At 47.6% G+C, this 25,738-nt stretch overlaps 1 long non-coding RNA gene and 1 other non-coding gene across 2 annotated transcripts, besides 8 other annotated features; both read right to left on the reverse strand.

The window, feature by feature from the left end:
* Positions 1,532-2,165: an enhancer, noted in NCBI's record as "H3K4me1 hESC enhancer chr5:1701759-1702392 (GRCh37/hg19 assembly coordinates)". NCBI's record gives its function as "activates a minimal SCP1, AML or CMV promoter by ChIP-STARR-seq in primed H9 embryonic stem cells {active_cell/tissue: H9 hESC(primed)}" and the evidence as "EXISTENCE:reporter gene assay evidence [ECO:0000049][PMID:30033119]".
* Positions 3,374-3,873: an enhancer, noted in NCBI's record as "H3K4me1 hESC enhancer chr5:1703601-1704100 (GRCh37/hg19 assembly coordinates)". NCBI's record gives its function as "activates a minimal SCP1, AML or CMV promoter by ChIP-STARR-seq in primed H9 embryonic stem cells {active_cell/tissue: H9 hESC(primed)}" and the evidence as "EXISTENCE:reporter gene assay evidence [ECO:0000049][PMID:30033119]".
* LOC105374614 (uncharacterized) lies at positions 4,086-25,272 on the reverse strand. Its single transcript, XR_925684.3, has 4 exons — positions 25,008-25,272; positions 23,536-23,687; positions 22,771-22,937; positions 4,086-5,457 (listed from the first exon to the last, which is right to left on the reverse strand). It is a non-coding gene; the product is annotated as an uncharacterized LOC105374614 (long non-coding RNA).
* Positions 7,022-7,523: an enhancer, noted in NCBI's record as "H3K4me1 hESC enhancer chr5:1707249-1707750 (GRCh37/hg19 assembly coordinates)". NCBI's record gives its function as "activates a minimal SCP1, AML or CMV promoter by ChIP-STARR-seq in naive H9 embryonic stem cells {active_cell/tissue: H9 hESC(naive)}" and the evidence as "EXISTENCE:reporter gene assay evidence [ECO:0000049][PMID:30033119]".
* Positions 7,524-8,023: an enhancer, noted in NCBI's record as "H3K4me1 hESC enhancer chr5:1707751-1708250 (GRCh37/hg19 assembly coordinates)". NCBI's record gives its function as "activates a minimal SCP1, AML or CMV promoter by ChIP-STARR-seq in naive H9 embryonic stem cells {active_cell/tissue: H9 hESC(naive)}" and the evidence as "EXISTENCE:reporter gene assay evidence [ECO:0000049][PMID:30033119]".
* Positions 8,625-8,780: a silencer, noted in NCBI's record as "fragment chr5:1708852-1709007 (GRCh37/hg19 assembly coordinates)". NCBI's record gives its function as "represses an EF-1alpha promoter that drives an FKBP-Casp9 reporter gene in an ReSE screen in HepG2 liver carcinoma cells {active_cell/tissue: HepG2}" and the evidence as "EXISTENCE:reporter gene assay evidence [ECO:0000049][PMID:32094911]".
* On the reverse strand, positions 8,673-8,756 carry MIR4277 (microRNA 4277). The gene has a single exon (NR_036240.1). It is a non-coding gene; the product is annotated as a microRNA 4277 (primary transcript).
* Positions 8,744-9,307: an enhancer, noted in NCBI's record as "H3K27ac-H3K4me1 hESC enhancer chr5:1708971-1709534 (GRCh37/hg19 assembly coordinates)". NCBI's record gives its function as "activates a minimal SCP1, AML or CMV promoter by ChIP-STARR-seq in naive H9 embryonic stem cells {active_cell/tissue: H9 hESC(naive)}" and the evidence as "EXISTENCE:reporter gene assay evidence [ECO:0000049][PMID:30033119]".
* Positions 9,308-9,872: an enhancer, noted in NCBI's record as "H3K27ac-H3K4me1 hESC enhancer chr5:1709535-1710099 (GRCh37/hg19 assembly coordinates)". NCBI's record gives its function as "activates a minimal SCP1, AML or CMV promoter by ChIP-STARR-seq in naive H9 embryonic stem cells {active_cell/tissue: H9 hESC(naive)}" and the evidence as "EXISTENCE:reporter gene assay evidence [ECO:0000049][PMID:30033119]".
* Positions 9,873-10,436: an enhancer, noted in NCBI's record as "H3K27ac-H3K4me1 hESC enhancer chr5:1710100-1710663 (GRCh37/hg19 assembly coordinates)". NCBI's record gives its function as "activates a minimal SCP1, AML or CMV promoter by ChIP-STARR-seq in naive H9 embryonic stem cells {active_cell/tissue: H9 hESC(naive)}" and the evidence as "EXISTENCE:reporter gene assay evidence [ECO:0000049][PMID:30033119]".
* Positions 25,273-25,738: the final 466 nt, after the last annotated feature.

Consider the following 25,738-nt stretch of genomic DNA (forward strand, 5'->3'; position numbering starts at 1 on the left):
CTTTCAAATTCCATTTTCAATTAATTAATTCCATTTTCAACTATAGTCAGTTTATTGGTGAACCCATCTGATGAATTATTATTATTATTATTATTATTATTATTATTATTATTTTTTGAGATAGAGTCTCACTCTGTCACCCAGGCTGGAGTGCAATGGTGCAATCTCAGTTCACTGCAACCTCCTCCTACTGGATTCAAGCGATTTTCCTGCCTCAGCCTCCTGAATAGCTTGGATTACAGGTGCCTGCCACCACACCAGGCTAACTTTTTTATTTTTAGTAGAGACTATATCCTTCTGGGGATTTAGCTGGGAGCCATCCATGCCATTCTACAATCTAGTGAACATCTTGGTGAGAAGAGCTGCCACCCTTGCTGCAGGCCCCTCACTTTAGGGCTTTCTCTCTTGAGTACTGTGAGATAACAGGAAATTCCACTTTATCTTCCTGGCCCAGCACTGAAATTTTGGTTCACGTGGTTCTCATTGCTTTTATTGTTCTCTAAAGTCTTTAAAACTATGGTTTTTGTAATTTATTCCATTTTTTTCCCCTAGATTTTACAGTGAAGTACACTCTGCTGATATTTACTTCATCTTACTCGGAAGTGAAAGCCCCACTGATTTTTTTAAAATACGCTAAAAATTAGCCAGGCGTGGCGGTGTGTGCCTGTAATCCCAGCTACTCAGGAGGCTGAGGCAGGAGAACCGCTTGAACCTGAGAGGCAGAGGTTGCAGTGAGCCAAGATCGCACCACTGCACTCCAGCCTGGGCGAGAGAGCGAGACTCCACCTCAAAAAAAAAAAGTTATATAAAATATTGGGGTTTCCTTCATAAATGTTACTCGGGCCAACTAGTAGACTAAGTAAAAAGTAAAAGCATTGTGTTTGTAGAGAGACACTGAACATTTATGGGATGAAAGCTGGGACGTGGGAGAAATGGAAAATGCCCCAGGGCCGCTGGCCCTGCCCTCTCCAAGGCCTGCTCATCGCCCTAAGCGTGGCTGCATCTTCTGCTCCCTCTGGCTACCATCAGCGTGGGCAGGAGGAAGCCTGGGAAGATGGGGAGAGGGGAGCAGTGCTAAAGGGGGGCAGTGGAAAAATCCACAAGGTTGAAGAGAAATAAAAACCACAGGAGGGCCTGTCTGGAGTGTTTTCCCCACCAGAGGTGATAACCAAGAACTAATGTGTCCCACGAAAACCCAGAGTGCAATGGTGGCTGGGGTCACTCTCTTCTCCCGACGTGGCCCTGTGTGCTCCTCCTGGGCTCTGGGGACTCGCCTCCGGTTCAGGAGATGGAGAGGTGGTCTCCAACACCGCAGAGTCGGCCTGCTGTGCTGGCACGTGGCAGGAGTTCTGTGCCTGGCACTTTGGCACTTGTGAACTGACTGCACCCCGGGAAAGACAAAAGGAAGGACCAGTGCTGTGGCGTCTGTTTGCCTGTGAACTGCGACAGAGACACGATAAGTGTCCCCTTGTTATCATCAGCCTAGGGAGAGCTGTGTGGAGGATGGAGACACCAGCCATCAATCTCCCAGAGCACGCGGCATCTCTGTTTAATAGCTGATAGAGCGTCTCCAAAGGGCTTTTTTTCTGCTCTTTGTTTAAAATGACATATAATGGGCCTGGACTTATCAGTGTCTCTAAATGCATTTTCTGTGCTCTGTCCCCACTGGGGGGTTTAGTCCTTTCTAATGAATATATGCAGGATTGATTTTGAACTTGGTATAATTTAATCCATCAATTTAACATTAAATGAATATGCAAAGGGAGCCTCTTTGTGGATGAAGACCAGAAGGCGACGTTCTCATTCATCCGAAATGGACCTGAGCAATGAAAATCTTCCGCTGCTATTCGTATCTGCCATGGGGTCTGTGACTGGGCCGTCTGGGGCCGGGTGAGTCCTGACGCACCTAAACCAGCCCACAGCCCCTCAGCGACTCCCGGGCACGGCTCACACTCACTCAGAATGGAAGGATGTGGCTGCTTAGGGGCCTGGCTGCCACGCTGAGAGCTTTCTGGTCAAGCCACGCTAGCATTGAGCTCTGAACTCAAGCCTGGAGCCCGATGGGGAGCTCGAACCCATTGTGCCGATGCGTCATTGAAAGTTACACGCGTGCCCAGGACTGGACAACAGGTTGAAGCGATGTCCGATTTCTTCGATCCTAATGGTCTGTCAAAGCCTTTGGAGAGCGGATCATTTATAAAGCTCAAGGCCACACGGCAGCGGAAGAGCAGTCCTCCAGGCGCGCACAGACGCCGGGAGCTCGGGAGGTCAGAAAGAGCCGAGTGGTTGAAAACACAGCCCCTGAGCTGAGAGAGCTGCCGAGTCATTGTCGATTGTGCTGAGTGCGGCCGTGATTCCCTGACTCACCTCTCTGTGTGGGGGTGGGAGCAGGGATCCCCTTTTCCGCAGCTGTTGGTTTCTCACGCGCCGGGTCTTTCCAACGCCTCCCACTCTCTGACTGATAGTCTGTGAGCCCAGCAGCAAGGCCTTTGTTCCAGGGAAACCAGAAGTGTTTCTGGCCCAAGGGATCCCCCACCCAGGCCCTTTTCAGACCCATCGTGCGCACTGCAATGGGTCCGCTCCTGGGTTCTCCACGGGGACTTGAGGGCTTGCTCTAGAAACCAAGCCTCCTCTGGGATCTCAATTATCAATCATGTCCCCACCCTCCCCCATCCAGCGACTGGGCTGGGAGCCTGCTGTGATGATCGGAAGGCAGCAGAGCCCACGATGACACGAACCACTATTGTACAGACCTCCAGGACTCTAAACTGACAGGGGCAAGCAGATATAGAGCAGATGGGCCCACAACCTGGGGCAAAAAGGAATATTTCTATTGCAAATCCACACAATTATTGTGTTTGACAACGTTTTTCTTTGCACAAACTCTTCCACTCTACTTCCAAAGAGAATATGAGAGAGACTTAGCGCACACATTCGATTTTCACGATTGGAGACTCAGCCTCAATCAAGGAAGAAGAACTCTGGTGTTCAGGGAGCTCTGCAGCAGCCAAGGCTCATACTCCAGTAACATCTGTGCACTCCCTACAAGGCTAACCATGGAAGTGCCCTAGAGTGTCCAGGTTCATAATCACCCCCTCCTCAAAATGACTTCAGGATGGCTAAATGACCTTCCTAAAGTGCTATTATTTCAACCAGAAAGTCTCATTTCCCACGGGCACTCACGGAACTGAGGCTGCCTCTGGCTTCCCTGTGAAGCCTTGTCCCTGGCCCCACTTTCTCTCCTGCTCTGTCCTGTCACCATCTGTGACTGCTGTGCTCTCTAATCCCGATGGCTGCCTCAGCCTCCAGAAGCCAGGCTGCACCACCTCCCTTTTGTCAGGGCCCTGCCCATGTGCACAGGCCCTCAGGGTCTGCAGAGCCCAGCTCAGCCCATCCCCAGGGCTCCACGTGTTCACAAAGGTGCAGCCCTCCCAGGTCTTCCCAACATCTTCCACACCCCTCCTGGCGGTGACTTGGGTTCCTCACAACTCGAAGGACACCAGTTCTGCCTGTGTGTGGCAGGACTCAGCCCAGCACCATGATCCTCCTGGACACCCAGCCAGGAAGCACAGGGTGCAGGTGGCCCAAGCTCTCCCCATCGGGCCGTCGCTTCAAGCCAGGCAGCTGGCTACACTGCCTAGGGAGCCTTCCTGACGGTGTGTTCAGAAACAGCAATGCCAGCCGGCAAGGACTTGGTGTGCAGCCGTGAGCACTGGCCTTGTGAGTGCGGGGGCTTGGCACGCTGGCACTGTGCGTACCTGCAAGGCCTGGGTCTGGACGGGCGGGGGCGGCATGGTCTAGGCCTCCTTAGAGCAGCCCCGAAGCCCCAGTGCTGTGGCCGAATGAGCTCCCCATGGTCAGGGCACTGCGTCGTTGCCTCCTTAGTGGGGACTGCAGATCTACATGGGGGCCCATGGCTTTGCCTGATGCGGTGGCTGCAAAAGCCATATGGACTTGAATGATGAGCACCTGAGCTTCCCCTCAGCTGAGCTGAGCTGAGTCTTTAGAAAATGAATCCTTGTTGCTTCCCATACAAAATAAGTGAGCCTGAGCTGTGGCCAATGGACATCAATGTGGACACGAAGAAGAAACAATCATATTTATTGTTATAAAATAGACTTGCCCAGTTTGTGTGGGGTGTGCCTGGGATGTGAAGGGAGCAGAGTGTTCGCATGTCTGGGGTCCCCTGTTCGCTCAGCTGTCATGGGAAGAAGCCCCTTCTAACCTCGCTTACTCTGAGGTGAACGCAGGTGGCCTCTACCCATGCTCTGGCTGGAAAAGAGCCATTCCTTGGCCCTGAGTGCCACAGGAGGCCGGGGGAGCCCCACTGCCTTCTCCGTTCTCTTCCCAGCAGGTGCCCACCCTCCATCTAGATCCTGGGATTGTGGGCCGATCCGGCTCCAGCCCCGTGAAGGTGCAATGCTTGAAGGTGCAATGCTTGCCGCCAATCCCCACTGCGCAGAGCTGACCAGGTGGAGGGGACGAGGCCTTGCTGGCACAGGTGCCTTCTCTGGGCTGATTTGCACCTGGCTGGGGGCTTCGTGAAGAAGTGGGGCCAGGGAAGGAAGGCCCTTCTTCACAGTTCTCCGTGTGTCACTGCCATGTTTCTCTGGCCAGCATGGTGTCCCAGAAGCTCTTCCCCAGGCCCAGCAAGGCCGCCCTCCCTCCTTTGTCTCCAAGCTGCCGGTGATGAGTTAAATGAATGCACAGCGAGTGTCCAGAATCCCCCTGCCCGTCCCCCGTGTACTCACTGCTCCCTGGGTGGCCTGGGTGGTGACTCTTTTTGGACCCCGTAAGTTCCAGACCCCAGCTGGGGTCACACTGGGCACCTTTCCAGAACATGCCCTGTGTCCCCTCTGTTGCAGATCTGAGTCAGTTCCTTTGTGTGGGGCAGGATAGATGGCCCTGCCCAGGAGAGGTGGCTTCTGCCTGGTGTGTTGGGGCCCACAGAACCCACTGGGATGCCTCTCAAGGCCCCGCACTGGGAAGGCAGGGACAGTCCAGCCGTGCACTGCGACATCTGAAGATGGTGCTTCTGTGTTCGACTGGTCCCAGTGTGGACATAAAGAAAGAGTTCCTTTCCTGCCTAAACTTACAAGAGTGACTTTAGTTACAAATCAGCTGTTGGATCAACGTGTACATTTCATATTTCTCCTGTGGGTTTAGTTGCTCAAAGACTTGAAATTTTAATATTGCAGCAATGATTGTGTTGATGCTATAGAAGTCACTGGAATTGTTTTGCACTTTTCACAAATACTTTGCATGGCCTCAGAATTCTTCAGAGTAAACCGTCTTCCTGGTTTCTCAGCTCCAGCTTTGATGAATCCTGAAGCTGTCACCTTGGGAAGTTACGCTGGGCTTCAGGTGTCAGGTGCAGATTGCACAGATGGGTCCCATCTCATTCCCCCCAAAACACCAAACTGCAGGAAAGAGAGTTTTTACGAAAAGGCAGACCTGCTGTAACAGAGAGGACAAGAGAGTCAATATCAACAGAACAGGACCTTAGAAGCTAGGAAGCAGGAGAAGTGGAGACTTACTTAGCAGAACCAAGAAAGTGAAATTCTAGGTCTGGGCGAGAGAAGCTGAGGCAACCCAGTTATGCTGCAGAACCTCTGGGAGGCTCAGAGTCCTTCTCTCCAGTGGGAGAAAGTGGCATGCGGGAATGCCTAAGTACCTGGCGATTTTCTATTTTTTTAGGGTAGGTGGTGGGTAGTGAGTGTTTCTTTAACACATAAGTTCCACCATCCTGGCTAACATGGTGAAACCCCGTCTCTACTAAAAAATACAAAAAATTAGCCGGGCGTGGTGGCGGGCGCCTGTAGTCCCAGCTACGCGGGAGGCTGAGGCAGGAGAATGGTGTGAACCCGGGAGGCGGAGCTTGCAGTGAGCTGAGATTGCACCACTGCACTCCAGCCTGGGCCACAGAGTGAGACTCCATCTCAAAAAACAAAAAAACCATATTAAGTTCCACACAAGGAGTTGTGTTGAAGACACTTGCATAGCAAGAAATCCCAAACACCACCCCCAACATCTGCAAACGTGAAGTGAGTCTCAGTAAGAGCCCCTCGTCCGCTGGCCGGAGCAAAGGCCGGTCACTAAACAGGTAAGCTCTCCAGAGAACCAGATCAGCCACGGGTCGGGGGCCTCCTCCGCGGGCGCCTTCCCTGGACACGTATTTACTGAGTGGTGAACGGCATCGTGCGGCCTCACTTGCTTCGTGTTGATTCGGTGGCCAATAAGAAAGATTTCTTTTCTCTTGATCTTTCTAGTGTCTCCCAGGAAGTGACATTTATCAATGGTCAGTACGTTTAATTGATGATTTGGGTTACATATTCAATTTATTTATACCTGCCTTGTCCCATGAACAGTTTCAGTAGGTGTTTTACGTATTCCCGATTGATTTAAACGACGCACAGTCGTTCCCCTTTGCAGTCTTGCAGTGTGTAACACAGGCTAACCCTGTTCATAATCTTAGCCTGTAATGCTGACTACAAATTGCCATTGCTTAGTCATTGTTAGCAGAACTCATGATGTGGAGAAGGAGCGGGAATCCCTTTCGATGGTGACGGACTGTTTCTCTGATGCTGACGATCTCTCCCCTGATACCGCCAAGAAATTGTCTACAGAGATCACTCAATCTCTCCTCGAAACTGTGGGTTTGCAAAATCACACATTGATTCACTTTAATAATTTCATAAGTGCAGAGTTGAGCACTAGGCTGTGGAAGACCCTCTGGGGAGTTATGGAATGCAGGTCTTGGACACTGGTTTCTGCCACCGTGCCTTGTGGAACAAGGGACCCCAGAGAGAGCCACAGGGCACTGGCCCTCAATGGGCCCACGTGTGCAAGAGGGAGACAGCCCCAACTGGGGTTAGCCACGTGCTCTGAGAGGCCTGGGGCATAGCCCTCTGTACTTCAGCATCAGTGAGAGATGAAGCCACAGGAGACCTTTTCTGCAGAGGGAGGGGCTGTGTGAGCTCAGAGGTCCAGGCAGTGCCTCCCTCCCACCCTGACTGCCTGCGCCAGCTCCCACCTGGACTGAAGGTGCTGCTTTTCTGCAGGTTCGCTGGTTAAGGACTGAGGAGGCAGCTGCACATCCTCTCCTCTGTCCGTGGTGTCATAGCAAATGGCTCTTCCTTTTTCTCACCGTGCAGTTGGTCTTGAGGTGAAGCTCAGAGCACAGGACACATTGTTTGAAACTGGTGAAGCCGTGTGTTGTACCAGGCAGCGAGAGAAGACATGTGGCCTTATTTCCCATGCGATGAGTTTTCAGAGTGATGTGAAGACGTGCCCTCTTACTGAGCACCACCTCTCAAATGGCCAAGGGCTCCCACGTGGTCCACTTGCAATGTGGGAGGTCATCCTAGCAGACGGCAAGGGAGGGGAGCTGGCTGCAAAGGTGGACAGTCAGGCTGGAAGGCCTGAGACCCGCAAGAGACCGCTCTGCTACGGGACAGGGGGCTGGTGTTTCTGGAGACAGTGTACTAACTCCGAGGGCCCAGGGAGGGCCGTGCTCCTGGGAGCCAGCCTCTGCAACCTGGCTTTCTGGGTGCCGTGGGACGGCGGGGCTGAGCCTGGCCTCTCCACACATGTGGCCAGCTGCCACTCCCCAGGGGTACAGGTGATGTGCAGTCTGCACACAGGGGCCCAGGGGCCTGTTGCCTTCCTGGACACCCCTGCTCCCATCTTGGGGCTGGTCAGCTCAGCCCAGAGCGCCTAGTACCTTCTGAAGTTATTTTCTCCTCTTTACCAGGAAGAAATGTTTGTAGTAAAAGAAACGGTGGCACATAATTTTGGAAAACAAAGGTATTTTGAGGGCTAATGCTTGTAGCTGGGTTTCCCAGATGCAAAGTTTGCACATTTTATTGTCATCCTTCCATGTTTTGTGCATACATGATCGAGAAGTGTGTGTGTGTGTGTGTGAGTGTGCATGTGTGGGATGCCAATGTGTACATGGTACAACTGTGTGTGCACAGGTGTGTGTTTTTGCCCTGAGTGTGTGCGGTGTGTGTGTTATGTGTATGTTATGTGTTGTGTTGTGGAATGCCCATGTGTGTTATGTGGTGTGTGTGCCTTGTGTGCAGGTGGCATGTCTGTGTGTGTTACATGCCTGTGTTGTGTGCCCATATCTATGTGATTGGTCACTGTTGTGTGTGTTGTGTGTGTCTGCACTGGGTACTCGCTATGTGTGTCGAGTTTATGTGCATGGTGCATCTCTCTGTGGAGCTTTGTGGGAATGAAGAATCAGGTTAATCTCCCAGCTCTCAATCAGAAAAGGACAACCAAAATTTGCAGTCGCACACAGAAGATGAATTTGTTAATGCCTGGCTGGACTTTCCACTCAGGTCTTAACCACCTGGAATGCTGAGGTGCAGCATATGTGATTGATGAAACAGGGACGAGGGTGGTTTCTGCTGAGCACTTCAGGCATGAAATCCAAACTCAGCAAAAGAGCCCCCTTTGCCAGCCCCCTGCTGCTGTCCCAACCCAATTGCTTGTCCCGCTCTCCTTGGAAGATGGCAGCCACACTTGAGTGGGATATCAGAGTGGCTGCTTTTCATCAGGAAGAGGCAGAGACAGGCTGAGTCAAGTGGAACCACTGCTGTCCCCCACTGTCAGGCGGCCCCTGCCCCCACTTGGAGCCCGCCCAGGGGCAGCTTTGTCTAGACATGGAGGGGCACAAGGACTTGAGCTGAGCAGGGCACTGGGCAGTGGGGGCAGCCCAGTGTACTGTGCTCAGAACTGCCTCGACCCAGAGCCAGACAAGTGACCGGGCAGTCACAGCCCCATCTCCTCCCTGCTAAGCACTGGCAGGACCCGCAGGGGAGGAGGAGGGAAGGCACTTCCTGCTGCCTGGACATTCCCCACTCTCAGGAGCAGCACAGACCTGGCCACTCCCATGAACAGAAAGTACCCCTGCAGTGTTGCCCTCCCACACCGTAGGCCACACACCTGGACATTCCACAACATATAACATACACATAACACACACACACACTGCACACACTCAGAGCAAAAACACACACCTATGCACCCACAGTGGTACCACATACACACTGGCATCCCACGGTGTCCCATCTGGCCACAATTGTCTCTCCCCTGTTAATGGCTCTCAGGACACTGCACATAGGGTAGCAAAGGGCAGTGACCCATGACAGATGACATGCAAGTGAGCTGAGCCCTGACGCTCTCCAGCTTCCTGCCTGAAGAGAATCTCTGAGCCATGACACAGGCAGAGGAGCCCAGGCACGGCCCACAGCCTGGCTGAACGCAGGAGACAGAGCCGAGAGTCTGTGGAGGTGAGAGAAAGTGACCTTTGCCCTACAGAGTCTTGCAGAAAAGAGACAGGCGTGGGGCACGAGCTCCTGGGATCCACAACAGGTCTGGGTGGAGCAGGCCACAGAGTGCTGCTCGGTGCACGAGAGAAAGACTCACGAAACGGGAAGGAGGCTCTGGGAAGGAGTAGAGGTCAATGCCCAGCACTCACACTGGGCCGGCCGCCTCTCCTGCCAGGCAAAGTTGAATACGCATTGGGTAGAGCACACAGGAGAGTGTTGCCTCGGTACTGGAGAATAATTCATCCTTAATTGCTCACCTCTCAGGTTCTGCCTAACAAAGCTTAAAAGCAAGATCCAAAAGGCTCAATCTTGTTTCAAAGAAACTCAACGTTGTCCTTGGACAACCCTCAAGAATATGTATAGAATCAGAGGAGCCAAGATGGCCCAATAGGAACAGCTCCGGTCTACAGCTCCCAGCGTGAGCGATGCAGAAGACGGGTGATTTCTGCATTTCCATCTGAGGTACCGGGTTCATCTCACTAGGGAGTGCCAGACAGTGGGCGCAGGTCAGTGTGTGTGCGCACCGTGCGCGAGCCGAAGCAGGGCGAGGCATTGCCTCACTCGGGAAGCGCAAGGGGTCAGGGAGTTCCCTTTCCCAGTCAAAGAAATGGGTTACAGACGGCACCTGGAAAATCGGGTCACTCCCACCCGAATACTGCGCTTTTCCGACGGGCTTAAAAAACGGCGCACCACGAGACTATCTCCCGCACCTCGCTCGGAGGGTCCTACGCCCACGGAGTCTCGCTGATTGCTAGCACAGCAGTCTGAGATCAAACTGCAAGGCGGCAGCGAGGCTGGGGGAGGGGCGCCCGCCATTGCCCGGGCTTGATTAGGTAAACTAAGCAGCCAGGAAGCTCCAACTGGGTGGAGCCCACCACAGCTCAAGGAGGCCTGCCTGCCTCCGTAGGCTCCACCTCTTGGGGCAGGGCACAGACAAACAAAAAGACAGCAGTAACCTCTGCAGACTTAAATGTCCCTGTCTGACAGCTTTGAAGAGAGCAGTGGTTCTCCCAGCACGCAGCTGGAGATCTGAGAACGGGCAGACTGCCTCCTCAAGTGGGTCCCTGACCCCTGACCCTGGAGCAGCCTAACTGGGAGGCACCCCCCAGCAGGGGCACACTGACACCTCACACGGCAGGGTATTCCAACAGACCTGCAGCTGAGGGTCCTGTCTGTTAGAAGGAAAACTAACAAACATAAAGGACATCCACACCGAAAACCCATCTGTACACCACCATCATCAAAGACCAAAAGTAGATAAAACGACAAAGATGGGGAAAAAACAGAACAGAAAAACTGGAAACTCTAAAAAGCAGAGCGCCTCTCCTCCTCCAAAGGAATGCAGTTCCTCACCAGCAACGGAACAAAGCTGGATGGAGAATGACTTTGACGAGCTGAGAGAAGAAGGCTTCAGACGATCAAATTACTCTGAGCTACGGGAGGACATTCAAACCAAAGGCAAAGAAGTTGAAAACTTTGAAAAAAATTTAGAAGAATGTATAACTAGAGTAACCAATACAGAGAAGTGCTTAAAGGAGCTGATGGAGCTGAAAACCAAGGCTCGAGAACTACGTGAAGAATGCAGAAGCCTCAGGAGCCGATGCGATCAACTGGAAGAAAGGGTATCAGCAATGGAAGATGAAATGAGTGAAATGAAGTGAGAAGGGAAGTTTAGAGAAAAAAGAATAAAAAGAAATGAGCAAAGCCTCCAAGAAATATGGGACTATGTGAAAAGACCAAATCTACGTCTGATTGGTGTACCTGAAAGTGATGGGGAGAATGGAACCAAGTTGGAAAACACTCTGCAGGATATTATCCAGGAGAACTTCCCCAATCTAGCAAGGCAGGCCAACGTTCAGATTCAGGAAATACAGAGAACGCCACAAAGATACTCCTCGAGAAGAGCAACTCCAAGACACATAACTGTCGGATTCACCAAAGCTGAAATGAAGGAAAAAATGTTAAGGGCAGCCAGAGAAAGGTCGGGTTACCCACAGAGGGAAGCCCATCAGACTAACAGCGGATCTCTCGGCAGAAACTCTACAAGCCAGAAGAGAGTGGGGGCCAATATTCAACATTCTTAAAGAAAAGAATTTTCAACCCAGAATTTCATATCCAGCCAAACTAAGCTTCATAAGTGAAGGAGAAATAAAATACTTCACAGACAAGCAAAGGCTGAGAGATTCTGTCACCACCAGGCCTGCCCTAAAAGAGCTCCTGAAGGAAGCGCTAAACATGGAAAGGAACAACTGGTACCAGCCACTGCAAAATCATGCCAAAATGTAAAGACCATCGAGACTAGGAAGAAACTGCATCAACTAACAAGCAAAATAACCAGCTAACATCATAATGACAGGATCAAATTCACACATAACAATATTAACTTTAAATGTAAATGGACTAAATGCTCCAATTAAAAGACACAGACTGGCAAATTGGATAAAGAGTCAAGACCCATCGGTGTGCTGTATTCAGGAAACCCATCTCACGTGCAGAGACACACATAGGCTCAAAATAAAAGGATGAAGATCTACCAAGCAAATGGAAAACAAAAAAAGGCAGGGGTTGCAATCCTAGTCTCTGATAAAACAGACTTTAAACCAACAAAGATCAAAAGAGACAAGGCCATTACATAATGGTAAAGGGATCAATTCAACAAGAAGAGCTAACTATCCTAAATATATATGCACCCAATACAGGAGCACCAAGATTCATAAAGCAAGTCCTGAGTAACCTACAAAGAGACTTAGACTCCCACACATTAATAATGGGAGACTTTAACACCCCACTGTCAACATTAGACAGATCAACAAGACAGAAAGTCAACAAGGATACCCAGGAATTGAACTCAGCTCTGCACCAAGCAGACCTAATAGACATCTACAGAACTCTCCACCCCAAATCAACAGCATATACATTTTTTTCAGCACCACACCACACCTATTCCAAAATTGACCACATACTTGGAAGTAAAGCTCTCCTCAGCAAATGTAAAAGAACAGAAATTATAACAAACTATCTCTCAGACCACAGTGCAATCAAACTAGAACTCAGGATTAAGAATCTCACTCAAAACTGCTCAACTACATGGAAACTGAACAACCTGCTCCTGAATGACTACTGGGTACATAACGAAATGAAGGCAGAAATAAAGATGTTCTTTGAAACCAATGAGAACAAAGACACAACATACCAGAATCTCTGGGACGCATTCAAAGCAGTGTGTAGAGGGAAATTTATAGCACTAAATGTCCACAAGAGAAAGCAGGAAAGATCCAAAATTGACACCCTAACATCACAATTAAAAGAACTAGAAAAGCAAGAGCAAACACATTCGAAAGCTAGCAGAAGGCAAGAAATAACTAAAATCAGAGCAGAACTGAAGGAAATAGAGACATAAAAAACCCTTCAAAAAATTAATGAATCCAGGAGCTGGTTTTTTGAGAGGATCAACAAAATTGATAGACCGCTAGCAAGACTAATAAAGAAAAAAAGAGAGAAGAATCAAATAGACGCAATAAAAAATGATAAGGGGGATATCACCACCGATCCCACAAAAATACAAACTACCATCAGAGAATACTACAAACACCTCTACGCAAATAAACTAGAAAATCTAGAAGAAATGGATAAATTCCTCGACACATACACTCTCCCAAGACTAAAACAGGAAGAAATTGAATCTCTGAATAGACCAATAACAGGATCTGAAATTGTGGCAATAATCAATAGCTTACCAACCAAAAAGAGTCCAGGACAAGATGGATTCACAGCCGAATTCTACCAGAGGTACAAGGAGGAACTGGTACCATTCCTTCTGAAACTATTCCAATCGATAGAAAAAGAGGGAATCCTCCCTAACTCATTTTATGAGGCCAGCATCATTCTGATACCAAAGCCAGGCAGAGACACAACAAAAAAAGAGAATTTTAGACCAATATCCTTGATGAACATTGATGCAAAAATCCTCAATAAAATACTGGCAAAATGAATCCAGCAGCACATCAAAAAGCTTATCCACCATGATCAAGTGGGCTTCATCCCTGGGATGCAAGGCTGGTTCAATATATGCAAATCAATAAATGTAATCCAGCATATAAACAGAGCCAAAGACAAAAACCACATGATTATCTCAATAGATGCAGAAAAAGCCTTTGACAAAATTCAATAACCCTTCATGCTAAAAACTCTCAATAAATTAGGTATTGATGGGACGTATTTCAAAATAATAAGAGCTATCTATGACAAACCCACAGCTAATATCATACTGAATGGGCAAAAACTGGAAGCATTCCCTTTGAAAACTGGCACAAGACAGGGATGCCCTCTCTCACCACTCCTATTCAACATAGTGTTGGAAGTTCTGGCCAGGGCAATTAGGCAGGAGACGGAAATAAAGAGTATTCAATTAGGAAAAGAGGAAGTCAAATTGTCCCTGTTTGCAGACGACATGATTGTATATCTAGAAAACCCCACTGTCTCAGCCCAAAATCTCCTTAAGCTGATAAGCAACTTCAGCAAAGTCTCAGGATACAAAATCAATGTACAAAAATCACAAGCATTCTTATACACCAACAACAGACAAACAGAGAGCCAAATCATGAGTGAACTCCCATTCACAATTGCTTCAAAGAGAATAAAATACCTAGGAATCCAACTTACAAGGGATGTGAAGGACCTCTTCAAGGAGAACTACAAACCACTGCTCAAGGAAATAAAAGAGGATACAAACAAATGGAAGAACATTCCATGCTCATGGGTAGGAAGAATCAATATCTTGAAAATGGCCATACTGCCCAAGGTAATTTACAGATTCAATGCCATCCCCATCAAGCTACCAATGCCTTTCTTCACAGAATTGGAAAAAACTACTTTAAAGTTCATATGGAACCAAAAAAGAGCCCGCATCGCCAAGTCAATCCTAAGCCAAAGAACAAAGCTGGAGGCATCACACTACCTGACTTCAAACTATACTACAAGGCTACAGTAACCAAAACAGCATGGTACTGGTACCAAAACAGAGATATAGATCAATGGAACAGAACAGAGCCCTCAGAAATAACGCTGCATATCTACAACTATCTGATCTTTGACAAACCTGAGAAAAACAAGCAATGGGGGAAAGGATTCCCTATTTAATAAATGGTGCTGGGAAAACTGGCTAGCCATATGTAGAAAGCTGAAACTGGATCCCTTCCTTACACCTTATACAAAAATCAATTCAAGATGGATTAAAGACTTAAACGTTAGACCTAAAACCATAAAAACCCTAGAAGAAAACCTAGGCATTACCATTCAGGACACACGCATGGGCAAGGACTTCATGTCTAAAACACCAAAAGCAATGGCAACAAAAGCCGAAATTGACAAATGGGATCTAATTAAACTAAAGAGCTTCTGCACAGCAAAAGAAACTACCATCAGAGTGAACAGGCAACCTACAAAATGGGAGAAAATTTTCGCAACCTACTCATCTGACAAAGGGCTAATATCCAGAATCTACAATGAACTCAAACAAATTTACAAGAAAAAAACAAACAACCCCATCAAAAAGTGGGCGAAGGACATGAACAGACACTTCTCAAAAGAAGACATTTATGCAGCCAAAAAACACATGAAAAAATGCTCATTGTCACTGGCCATCAGAGAAATGAAAATCAAAACCACAATGAGATACCATCTCACACCAGTTAGAATGGCAATCATTAAAAAGTCAGGAAACAACAGGTGCTGGAGAGGATGTGGAGAAATAGGAACACTTTTACACTGTTGGTGGGACTGTAAACTAGTTCAACCATTGTGGAAGTCAGTGTGGCGATTCCTCAGGGATCTAGAACTAGAAATACCATTTGACCCAGCCATCCCATTACTGGGTATATACCCAAAGGACTATAAATCATGCTGCTATAAAGACACATGCACACGTATGTTTATTGCGGCATTATTCACAATAGCAAAGACTTGGAACCAACCCAAATGTCCAACAATGATAGACTGGATTAAGAAAATGTGGCACATATACACCATGGAATACTATGCAGCCATAAAAAATGACGAGTTCATGTCCTTTGTAGGGACATGGATGAAATTGGAAATCATCATTCTCAGTAAACTATCGCAAGAACAAAAAACCAAACACCGCATATTCTCACTCATAGGTGGGAATTGAACAATGAGAACACATGGACACAGGAAGGGGAACATCACACTCTGGGGACTGTTGTGGGGTGGGGGGAGGCGGGAGGGATAGCATTGGGAGATACACCTAATGCTAGATGACGAGTTAGTGGGTGCAGTGCACCAGCATGGCACATGTATACATATGTAACTAACCTGCACAATGTGCACATGTACCCTAAAACTTAAAGTATAATTAAAAAAAAAAAGAATATGTACAGAAGTACAAAAATATCCATCACCCAGCAAAGTACGATTCTCAATATTTGGCATCCTGTTATAGACTGAATTGAATCATTCCGCAAAATTCACTTGTTGAAGTTGTTTTATTAATATGGTTAATTACATTGCTGGTTTTTTTTTTTTTTGACAGGGTCTCACTCTGTTGCCCAGGCTGGAGTGCAGTGGTGTGATCTCGGCTCACTACAGCCTCTGGGTTCAAGCGATTCTCCTGCCTCAGCCTCCTGAGTAGCTGGGATTACAGGTGCCTGCCACCATGCCTGGCTAATTTTTTTTTTTGAGACAATATTTTACTGTTGTCACCCAGGCTGGAGTGCAATGGTATAGTCTTGGCTCACTGCAACCTCTGCCTCCTGGGTTCAAGTGATTCTCCTGTCTCAGCCTCCCTAGTAGCTGGGATTACAGGTGCCCACCATCATGCCCCGCTAATTTTTGTAATTTTAGTAGAGACAGGGTTTCACCATGTTGGACAGACTGGTCTCGAACTCATGACCTCAGGTGATCCACCTGCCTCAGTTTCCCAAAGTGAGCCACTGTGCCTGGCCCCTTGCTGGGGTTTTAATGTTAAGTCAGTGTTGTAATATGGGCATGAACCTAGTCATGATGTATTATCCTTGTTGTACACAACTGGATAGAATTTGCTAGAATGTTGTTCAGAAGTTGTACATCCATATTAATGAGAGTTTTTTATTTTTATTTTTTTCTGTACTTTTAAGACTGTGTGGTTTTGGTATTGGGGTAATACTGACTTTAAAAATGAATTGGGAAAGAAATTCTGTCTTCAATTTTATAAAAGAGTTTGTGTAGAAATTGTAGAAAGTAAACACTTTCCCCCTCAAAATTTAAGAATAAATCATAAGTGTTAGAAATAATAGTTTCTTTTTAAAACTAACTTCTTTCAAGCCTCCTTGCTTTGTACTAATAACTCTTTGTTAAGCCCTATCCTATGTAGCTGTTAGACATGCACATAGGCACATAGTACATTCTATGTCCTTGTACCTTAACCAAGATATTTGTGTTGGATGTGCTCATAGGCATGTCCCAGCTCACAGCCTATGCCCCTTCCTTATTTAGAAATGTTATAACATTTATACCTATTTTTAAAAAGTATTTAATTATTAGCCAATCGAGTTTTAGTTTAAATTATGAGGTCTAGCTCCAGCCAACAGAGACAGGACACAGCAATAAAGACCTCAATTAGGAATAAATATTCTAATGTCTCCTTATTCTATATGTACCCTTGCCATTATTCCATCTGCAAAGGGCACTCTTACTGCAAAAAATAAAAGTTACCTCACTAAAAAACCTTTTTGTCTAAATGCTAATTTTTCCTTGCAGCACTGAAGAACAAACATTTTGCATTTCTAACAGAAATAGTATAATTTCTTCCCTAAATGTTTAGTAGGATTCACCAGTGAAGCCACTATAGAAAACAGTGTGGCAGTTTATTTAAAAGTTGATGGCCAGGCACGGTGGCTCATGCCTGTAATCCCAGCACTTTGGGAGGCTGAAGAGGGTGGATCACCTGAGGTCAAGAGTTCGAGACCGGCCTGGCCAATATAGTAAAACCTCATCTCTACTAAAAATACAAAAATTAGCCGGGTGTGGTGGCAGGTGTCTGTAGTCCCAGCTACATGGGAGGCTGAGGCAGGAGAATTGCTTGAGCCCAGGAGGTGGAGGTTGCAGTAAGCTGAGATAGCACCATTGTATTCCAGCCTGGGCAACAGAGGAAGACTCTGTCTCAAAAAAAAAAAAAAGAAAGAAAAATGAAAAAAAAGAAAGAAAAAAAAAGTTGACCACACTCCTAACATGTATTCCAGCCTTCCCCTCCTAGGCATTTACTCAAGAGAAACGAAAGCCTATGTTTTCTCACTAAGACTTTTCCACTTAAATGTTTATAGGAACTTTATTTGTAGTATCCCCAAATTGTAAACCAACCAAATGTTCATCATTAAGTGAATGCATAAACAAACAGAGGATATGCTCATTTTCCTGATTGTAATAATGGTTTCATGGTTGTATATATCTGCCAAAATGTGTCAAATAATACACTTAAATATTTGCAATTTATCGTATGTCAATTATACCTTAGGAAAGGTGCTACAATATGTAACAGTATAATAAAAAATTTATTTTAATAGGCAAAAATCTGAAAACAACCATATATGTTGCAAACAGAATAATTACAAATGCTTCCGTAAATGTAAAAATATAACAGTAGAAAGAAAACTTTGATAGGCTGGGCATGGTGGCTCATGTCTGTAATCTCAGCACTTTAGAAGGCCAAGGTTGGCTGATCATTTGAGGTCAGGAGTTTGAGACCAGCCTGAGAAACATGGTGAAGCCCCATCTCTACTAAAAATACAAAAGTTAGCTGGGCATGGTGGCAGGTGCCTATAATCTCAGCTACTCAGGAGGCCAAGGCAGGAGAATTACATGAACCTAGGAGGCAGAGGTTGCAGTGAGCCAAGATTGTGCCACTGCACTACAGCCTGGGTGACAGAGCAAGACTCCATCTAAAAAAACAAAAAACAAAACACAACTTGATAAATGAGTTAAATAGAAGAGATGACACAGATAAAGAGAGAATAAGTGGACTAGAAGATAATGCTGAAAAATTACTCAGAACACAACATAAAGTCAGACATTTCAAAAATGTCATATAGAGTTTGAAAGATATTACAGATGGGGTTAGAAGTTCTAATATGTTATTGGAATTCACAAAGGAACTAGTTCAGAGAACGAAGTAACTATGTAGAGAGTTAATAGCTGAGAATTATCTAAAATTTATAAAAAACATGGATGCCTAGATTCAGAAACACAAATTCAAGCAAGATACATAAAAAGGAGTCTGCACCTAAGTGCAATATAGTGAAATTTAAGGATAAATAGAAGATCTGAAAAGTATCTGGAGAAAAGATAAAGAACTCATTAAAGATTGATAATGGATTAACAGAATAAAGTCATTTGGTTAAAGAAATTAAAGAACTACTGCAATTAGACTGACAGCCGACTTCTCCATCCTCAATATGGAAACCAGGAGCCAATGGAATTACATCTTTGCAGTGCGGACACTAAGTAATGTCAACCTTTATTCATATACCCATAAAAACTATCTTTCAAGAAGTTTTCAGTTTCATATTAAAGAAGAAAACAATTCAGACAAATGTAAACAATGAGACGAAGGCCAAAATTACCTTCTTTGAAGTGGTTTTCTCACCCTCTAAAAACATCACCATTGCTATACTCTTCAACTTACCAGTGCTATTCGAAATATGTTTTTTCTTCCTAGCACAATCTATCCCAGAGTCTTTATCATGTTAAACTCAACAATGCGTCTCACTTGCATCACATGTGGATAAAAAATAATGAGAGACAGTTATTTCATCCTGTGTTCTTCCTGAATTCTCTACTTTACTACTTCTATCCCTTAGGGTAAAAAAAAAATTCAGAGAACATTTAGGGTAAAAATGGGAACTCCCTTAATCCCCCCAAATGTGGTAGACAGACCAACATTGTTTTTCATTTCTGCATCTACTCTCCTTTCTTTCTTTCAAGTTCAGAGCAAGAATTGCCACCATGTATTTAGGAGTGGTTCCTCCTTTCTTCTGGGCACTTTACTCCTTCTGTCTTGCATGTCTAGTCTCTCAGTTCAGAAGCTCAGCCTGCCTTGCTGGAAAGACTTTGATGTCCTTGTCTTCTGGGTCAAGCCTACGCATTGTTCATGACTACATCGAAGGGTCCTTTCGCTATTAGGCTGTGGGAATAATACCTCTCACCCTGGACAGGTCTTTCAACTGCAGACCCAGCACCCCTGTACAGACTTGGACCATGACTGATAATGGTCTTTTTCCCATGGATGTTTTCACTTTGTCCATCTCCCTCCATTCAGCTGAGACTTCTTTTGAGCAAGAACTGCTTGTTTTCCTCAGCACCTTTGGTGCCTCATGTAACACCTGACATTGATGAGCTGCCATATAGATATCAGAGGAATGTGGAAATAAATTAATGAATTTTTTTTCTATGATTACATCTAAACTTCTGGACCGATGTGTGATGAAGCAGCAGGAGCAGGATGTGGCAGGATACAGAAGGACCAGGAGATGCTGTCAAAGGAGGACAAGACGCTGGGGTGTTTGGGCTGGAGAATGCCTAGGTGGCCAGCAAGTGATGCTCAGATCAGGGGGAGGCCACTGCAGCTGGAGCATCTGTGCAGGCTCTTGGTAGGAATCTTGTGTGGAGCCCTTCGCTTATCTAATGGTGGAAAAGATTACCTCCAGGTCTCTATTGAACGTGAGAGTCAGGATCCGTGGGAGTGCCTGGGAGGCCACTGTCTCTCTCTCTCCAGTTCATCCTCCTTTTGATAAATTAATCTTCTTAAATACTTCCAGCATTAGTTTACTCCATTGCTCACAACCCTCCAAACATGCTGCATTGCCTTTTAAATCAAACCCCCATTTTATAAAAGCCCTCCATGAGAGTCAAACTTGTTCCTGTGATTCCCCTGGTCCCCATGTGCCAAGGCCATTCTGAGCATGGCCAGTAGCTTCCGTCAGCTCCTGCCTCCTCCACTTGCTGTGAGCCTTCTCTTGGGAGTCACCAGGGATTTCCAAGTTAACATATCCAAATCGAATACATGACCTTCGGGTTGTTGGGTTGGGAGAAGGCTTGAATTTGCCCCCACGGGCAGTGGATGTGTCACAAAGTGGCAAATTTTCCACCTCTGGAAGCGTCCAAGTAGAGAACAGACTACCGTCTCCCGCGAGTGCTTGAGAAAGCTGGCGGGGGCATTTCACCTCCCAGAGGCTCCTCCCAACGCCAAGCTTCTAAATTCCTGTGAGTTTCAACAATCTGCTGGCATAGATCAATCAGTCAAGTTAAATCAACCAATCATCTCTTTCGTGTGTACTGGCATATTACCGCTTCCACCTCGGCTGCCCAAATAAGACCCCGAGACATCTTCACCACGGCCCCTTCCTCCTGCCTGTCTGCACGGTGCCTGGCTCCCCATGAGCCCCACGCTGTCTGAGGGAGGGCAGTGCTCACTCATCTTTATGCACCTGCTAGCCACCTTGGAGCAAGCACAGTGCAGACCCTCAATACAGGCTCAGGACCTGTGGGAGGCGGGGAGGTCTTCAGGGAGATACAAGGAAAGAAGCATGTCGCGGGGGCCAGCAGACTTTAACTTTGCCAGGCGGGGGTAGCTGCTTCTGGCACTTCCTTTGCCATCACTTCTGTCAGGGACAGGCTTTTGGAGACAATTATATGAAACCATACTTCCTTCTGTATTACTTTCCTGCCATTCCTCATAAGCTATATTTTAATTTTAAACAGCAATTTACAGGGTAATTCATTTACAACAACACAATCCATTGTGATCACAATGCCATACATTTATGTTTTAAGTAATTTTTAATGCTTGTAGCAGCTGGGTCTCTGAAAATAACTAACATTTTTCACCTTGTGCAGCGAGGGGAAGAAAAATTCTCTGCTCTTTAATTATAGAACCACCAAAGACAACATGCAGTGAGTAGGGCAGTTATAATTGCAAAATAAGAAATGGTTTGCTTGAGAACATAGCAGATCCTTCCGTGTCAACATGTAACTGCCAGGGAGAGCAGGTAAAGCCTGGAGCAGAACTGTGCCCACTCCAGGCTCACAAGCCACTGTAATTTTAAGTCAAATTGATTAACATAAGAAGCATTATTAGGAAGATGGAATTATAGAAAGAGTGGAAATAGTTCCCTCTAACCAAAAAGAGCTGTATTCAAAGGGCAAGAGACTGGGGTTTATTTCTGTTTGTCGTTATTAGAAATGCACACACAGCCTGTGCCACAGCCTTGCATGGGTGTGCAGCTGCGGCTGCCACTATGTTCCAAAGGGCAGTACCCTCAGAGGACCACCTGTGCCCTTGCCTACCTGTGTGGCTGCCACTATGTCTCAAAGGGCAGTACCCTCAGAGGATCACCTGTGCCCTTGCCTACCTGTCCACAACATTAACCGTTTTTTCTCTCTCTCTTTTTTGAGACAGGGTCTTGCTACGTTGCTCAGGCTGTAATGCATTGGTGCAATTGTGGCTCACTGCAGCCTCAATACCCTGAGCTCAAGACAGCCTCCTGCCTCAGCCTCCCAAGTAGCTGAGACTACAGGTGTGTACCACCACATCCAGCAGACTTTTTTATCTTTATATTTTTAATTTTAAAGGAATCTATTTGCAGAATACTTACTGGCTAATTTCCAAATTTTTTGTAGAGATGAGGTCTCACTATGTTTCCCAGTCTAGCAGGGAACTCCTAGGCTCAAGTAATCCTCCCATCTTGGCCTCCCAAAGTGCTGGGATTATAGGTGTGAGTCCTATACTTAGCTGCCATTTTCTTTTTTTTTTTTTTTTTTTTGAGAGTAAAAACTGATTTTTAGTTGTGCTTGATTCAGTTCTCGATAACATGAAAGATCCTATAGTAATAGAAAATTTCACATTTCTAATATCCATTTTTATGGTTCCATTTAAATTGAATATTGGTAGTTTTTATTATTGAAACTTTATATCATGCTTAATCAACTTTTATTCTAACTCTTTTGACACTAATTTTTACCAACTTTTATGTCCTGGTTTTGTAATTCTTTACTTATTTGCTGTTTTTAAATGACTTATATTGGATGAGCCTTTCTAACTTTAACCTTTTAGAACCTTTATAACTTTAACCTAATTGGCATCTCTTGTATTAAGTTTGTTTATTGGTTTAGGCAGAAACTGCCTTTTATTTTTTTTATTTTTATTTTATTTTATTTATTATTATTATACTTTAAGTTTTAGGGTACATGTGCACAATGTGCAGGTTAGTTACCTATGTATACATGTGCCATGCTGGTGTGCTGCACCCACTAACTCGTCATCTAGCATTAGGTATATCTCCCAATGCTCTCCCTCCCCCCACCATTTTCTTTTTGAATTAAGATGTTCTGGGAGTGATTAAGCCACCTGTGCTCATATGTAAGTAAATCCCTCATTGCTCACCTAGCATCAGAAGTGCGAGGCAGGACCACACACGTGCCACGCAGGCACTGGCCTTCAACAGTCACGCCAACGTCCTCCGCCACAGACACCTCAAATCCAAGTCTTCATTTCTTCACGTTTTGCTGACATGCCACATGGAGGGAAGTCCATGTTGGTCTCGTTACCACCTAATGGGATGAGTGTCTCATCTCAAAAGAGCAGGCCCTTCCCGGGTCCCGTGGGGCTCAGCCCTGGACAGACGTGCAGCTCAGATCCCCTGGACAGGGTGCCGGTGGCTCCCCTCATCTCTGCCTTTTCCCCTCCCATTTTAACTTACCCCCTAGAGAATTATGTTAAGATAAAGTGACATACACCTGTGTTCCTTGCCCCCTCCCAATGGCACACTGCGCTAGGCCCATCAGAACTAGAGGAAGGAAACAGAATGTTTGGGAAACTCGTGCTGGTGACTGGAGGAGTTCTGTCCAGCCTCGCCTTCCCTCTCCCTCCCTCCCTCCCTTCCTCCCTCTCTCCCTCCCTGCCTCTGTCTCTTCCTCTGTCTCTCTCTCCCTCCTCCTTTCTCTTTTCCTCACTCCCTCTCTCTCCTCTCTCTTCTCCTCCCTTCCTCTCTCCCTTTCCCCTCCTCTCCCTCTCCCTCTTTCTCCTTCCCTCCTTCTCTCTCCCTGTCTCCCCCTCTCCTTCCCTCCCTCCTTCCTTCCACCCCTCTTCCCCTGTCTCTCCCTCCCACACCCCCTCTGGGTGGCGTCAGGTTGGAATCACACAGCTCACCTGGTTTGCCTGCTGGGCACCAGGCTGGCGGGCATAGTGTGGTTCTCCCATGGTGACCAGGCCCAGCGCGTCTCTTTACTGCGTGAAAGGCCTTCCTCTATCCAGAGGTTTATAGACCCCGCCTGACACTGCAGAAATGTAATACGAGCCACCTGTGCATGGTTTGTGAGAAGAAACAGGTGAAATTAATTTTAATGATGTATCCTTTTTAACTCATCATCTCCAAAATATGATCACTCAACATGTACTAATATGCAGTTGTTATTGAGCTATTTCACATTCTTCTTCTTATTTTATTGATTTATTTTTTGTACAATCTTTGGAACCTTAGCACCCTTAGTTCAAATGGCCACATTTGGCAGGCTCGGGAGCCATGGGGCTGGTGATGCCGCGGTGGGCAGCTGTAGACCCTGGAGGAGAGTGAGCCTAAGCCAGGCCCAAGCCAGTTCAATGCCTGCTTGATTAAGTAACTCACCCATAGCTAATTCCAAATGTGGCAGAGAGGCCACCAGAGTGTGGCTTGGGTGTGAACCACAGTAACCCCACCAATGAGCTTGTGTGAGGAGCTTCTTTGCAGAAGTGGTGAGGACGGGGCCCGTCCAGGCCTGTCGGTGGCCCTGCTACTCGGCCATGCCCACCCTGCACCACTGGGTCTGCCCAGGCCCTGCTCCTCGGCCATGCCCACCCTGCACCACTGGGTCTGCCCAGGCCCTGCTCCTCGGCCATGCCCACCCTGCACCACTGGGTCTGCCCAGGCCCTGCTCCTCGGCCATGCCCACCCTGCACCACTGGGTCTGTCCAGGCCCTGCTCCTCGGCCTTGCCGACCCTGCACCACTGGGTCTGTCCAGGCCCTGCTCCTCGGCCATGCCGACCCTGCACCACTGGCCGTCTCGTGACTGCACCAGTGTCACTCCAACATGAAAGCCGTGGGCAGACAATTATGCACAGGCCACCTTTATCCTTAGGCCCCTCTGAGGGGTGTGGATTGAGTCAGGACTGAAGAAGGTGCATGTGATGCAGGCTCACTGTTGCCAGGCCCAGGGAGGACTCCTGCGGCATGGAGGAAGCACACAGTGTCACTGGGCCACCCGCTAGAAGCAGGAGGAGGCAGCTCTGCCCACGGCATCCCGGCAGCAGGGTGAGCAACACCTGAGCCCAGTGAGAGAATAAACTCACAACAAGCTGCATGATGCGGGTTTACTACTCACAGACGGGCAGCAAGGATCAAAAGAAGCCTCAAACTCATCATGAGCCGGTCCCCCAAGGCCTGAGAAAGCTGTCTGGGGCGCAGAGTCCCCACTGTGTATGCCCCATTTGCACCACAGCCGAGGGACCTTGGAAGGCAGCCCACCGGGTTCTACACCTCAGGGGCGGCGCTCAGAGGGACCTCCTGCTGCCGGGGAGGGAGGAGCAAAGTCTGCGTGGTCCCCGGTCTGCGTGGTCCCCGGCAGCTCCTCCCTGATCTGCTTACCTAACAGACCTCGGACGGCCTCAGGAGCCAGGGACACAGGCGCAGGCTCCCGCGTGCTCGCCGGCTGTGTTGTTAAACATCTTCATGCACCAGCCCTCCCGGCAGGCCCGGGCGGGCAGAGCAGCGGAGGAGTGCTCGGGTTCAGACCGAGTCAGGGTCAGCCTGCTGGTCCTCAACGCCGTTCCGGGTTAGTTCAGGTTGATTTTCCTCTCTGAGGGCAAGGCCACCTCTAAAGTTGGGAGGGACAGGGGCGGGGACGAGGCTCGGGCTGTGCTGGGCGGTTCCTCTGTATCTTGAGACGCTGCATTTCCCCGCCTGCTGCAGCTCCTCCCAGAACCGCCAGCAAGAAACCGAGAGCTGAGCTGGCCAAGGCCATCAGGGCCGTCCACTGTGGGTGGGAGACGCAGCCTTGCCACATGGAAGATAAACGAGGCCGAGCAGGCTCTCTCCCCTCCCCTCCCCTCCCCTCCTCTCCTGGTATACCCCGGCTTCCCCCTTGCCCTCAGCCCTGCGTCCCGGGCATGGCTTCCATCTCCAACAGAACACAAGGTCGGAAGCCCTTCCCCCGATTTGAGGTTAATGGCACTTCGGTGTTTAGGCTCCTTCTGGCTTTGGCCCAAGCTTGGCAGGTGGGCCTCCCGCCTTGCTCTTCTTGGGGCCTGACAGGCTCACCGGCATTGCAGCTCCGTCAGGGACAGAGCCCACCATCTCCAGAAAGCCAGCCCCTACCT

The sequence above is a fragment of the Homo sapiens genome, chromosome 5 (genome assembly GCF_000001405.40).
Source record: "Homo sapiens chromosome 5, GRCh38.p14 Primary Assembly".
In the NCBI taxonomy this organism is placed as follows: domain Eukaryota; kingdom Metazoa; phylum Chordata; class Mammalia; order Primates; family Hominidae; genus Homo; species Homo sapiens.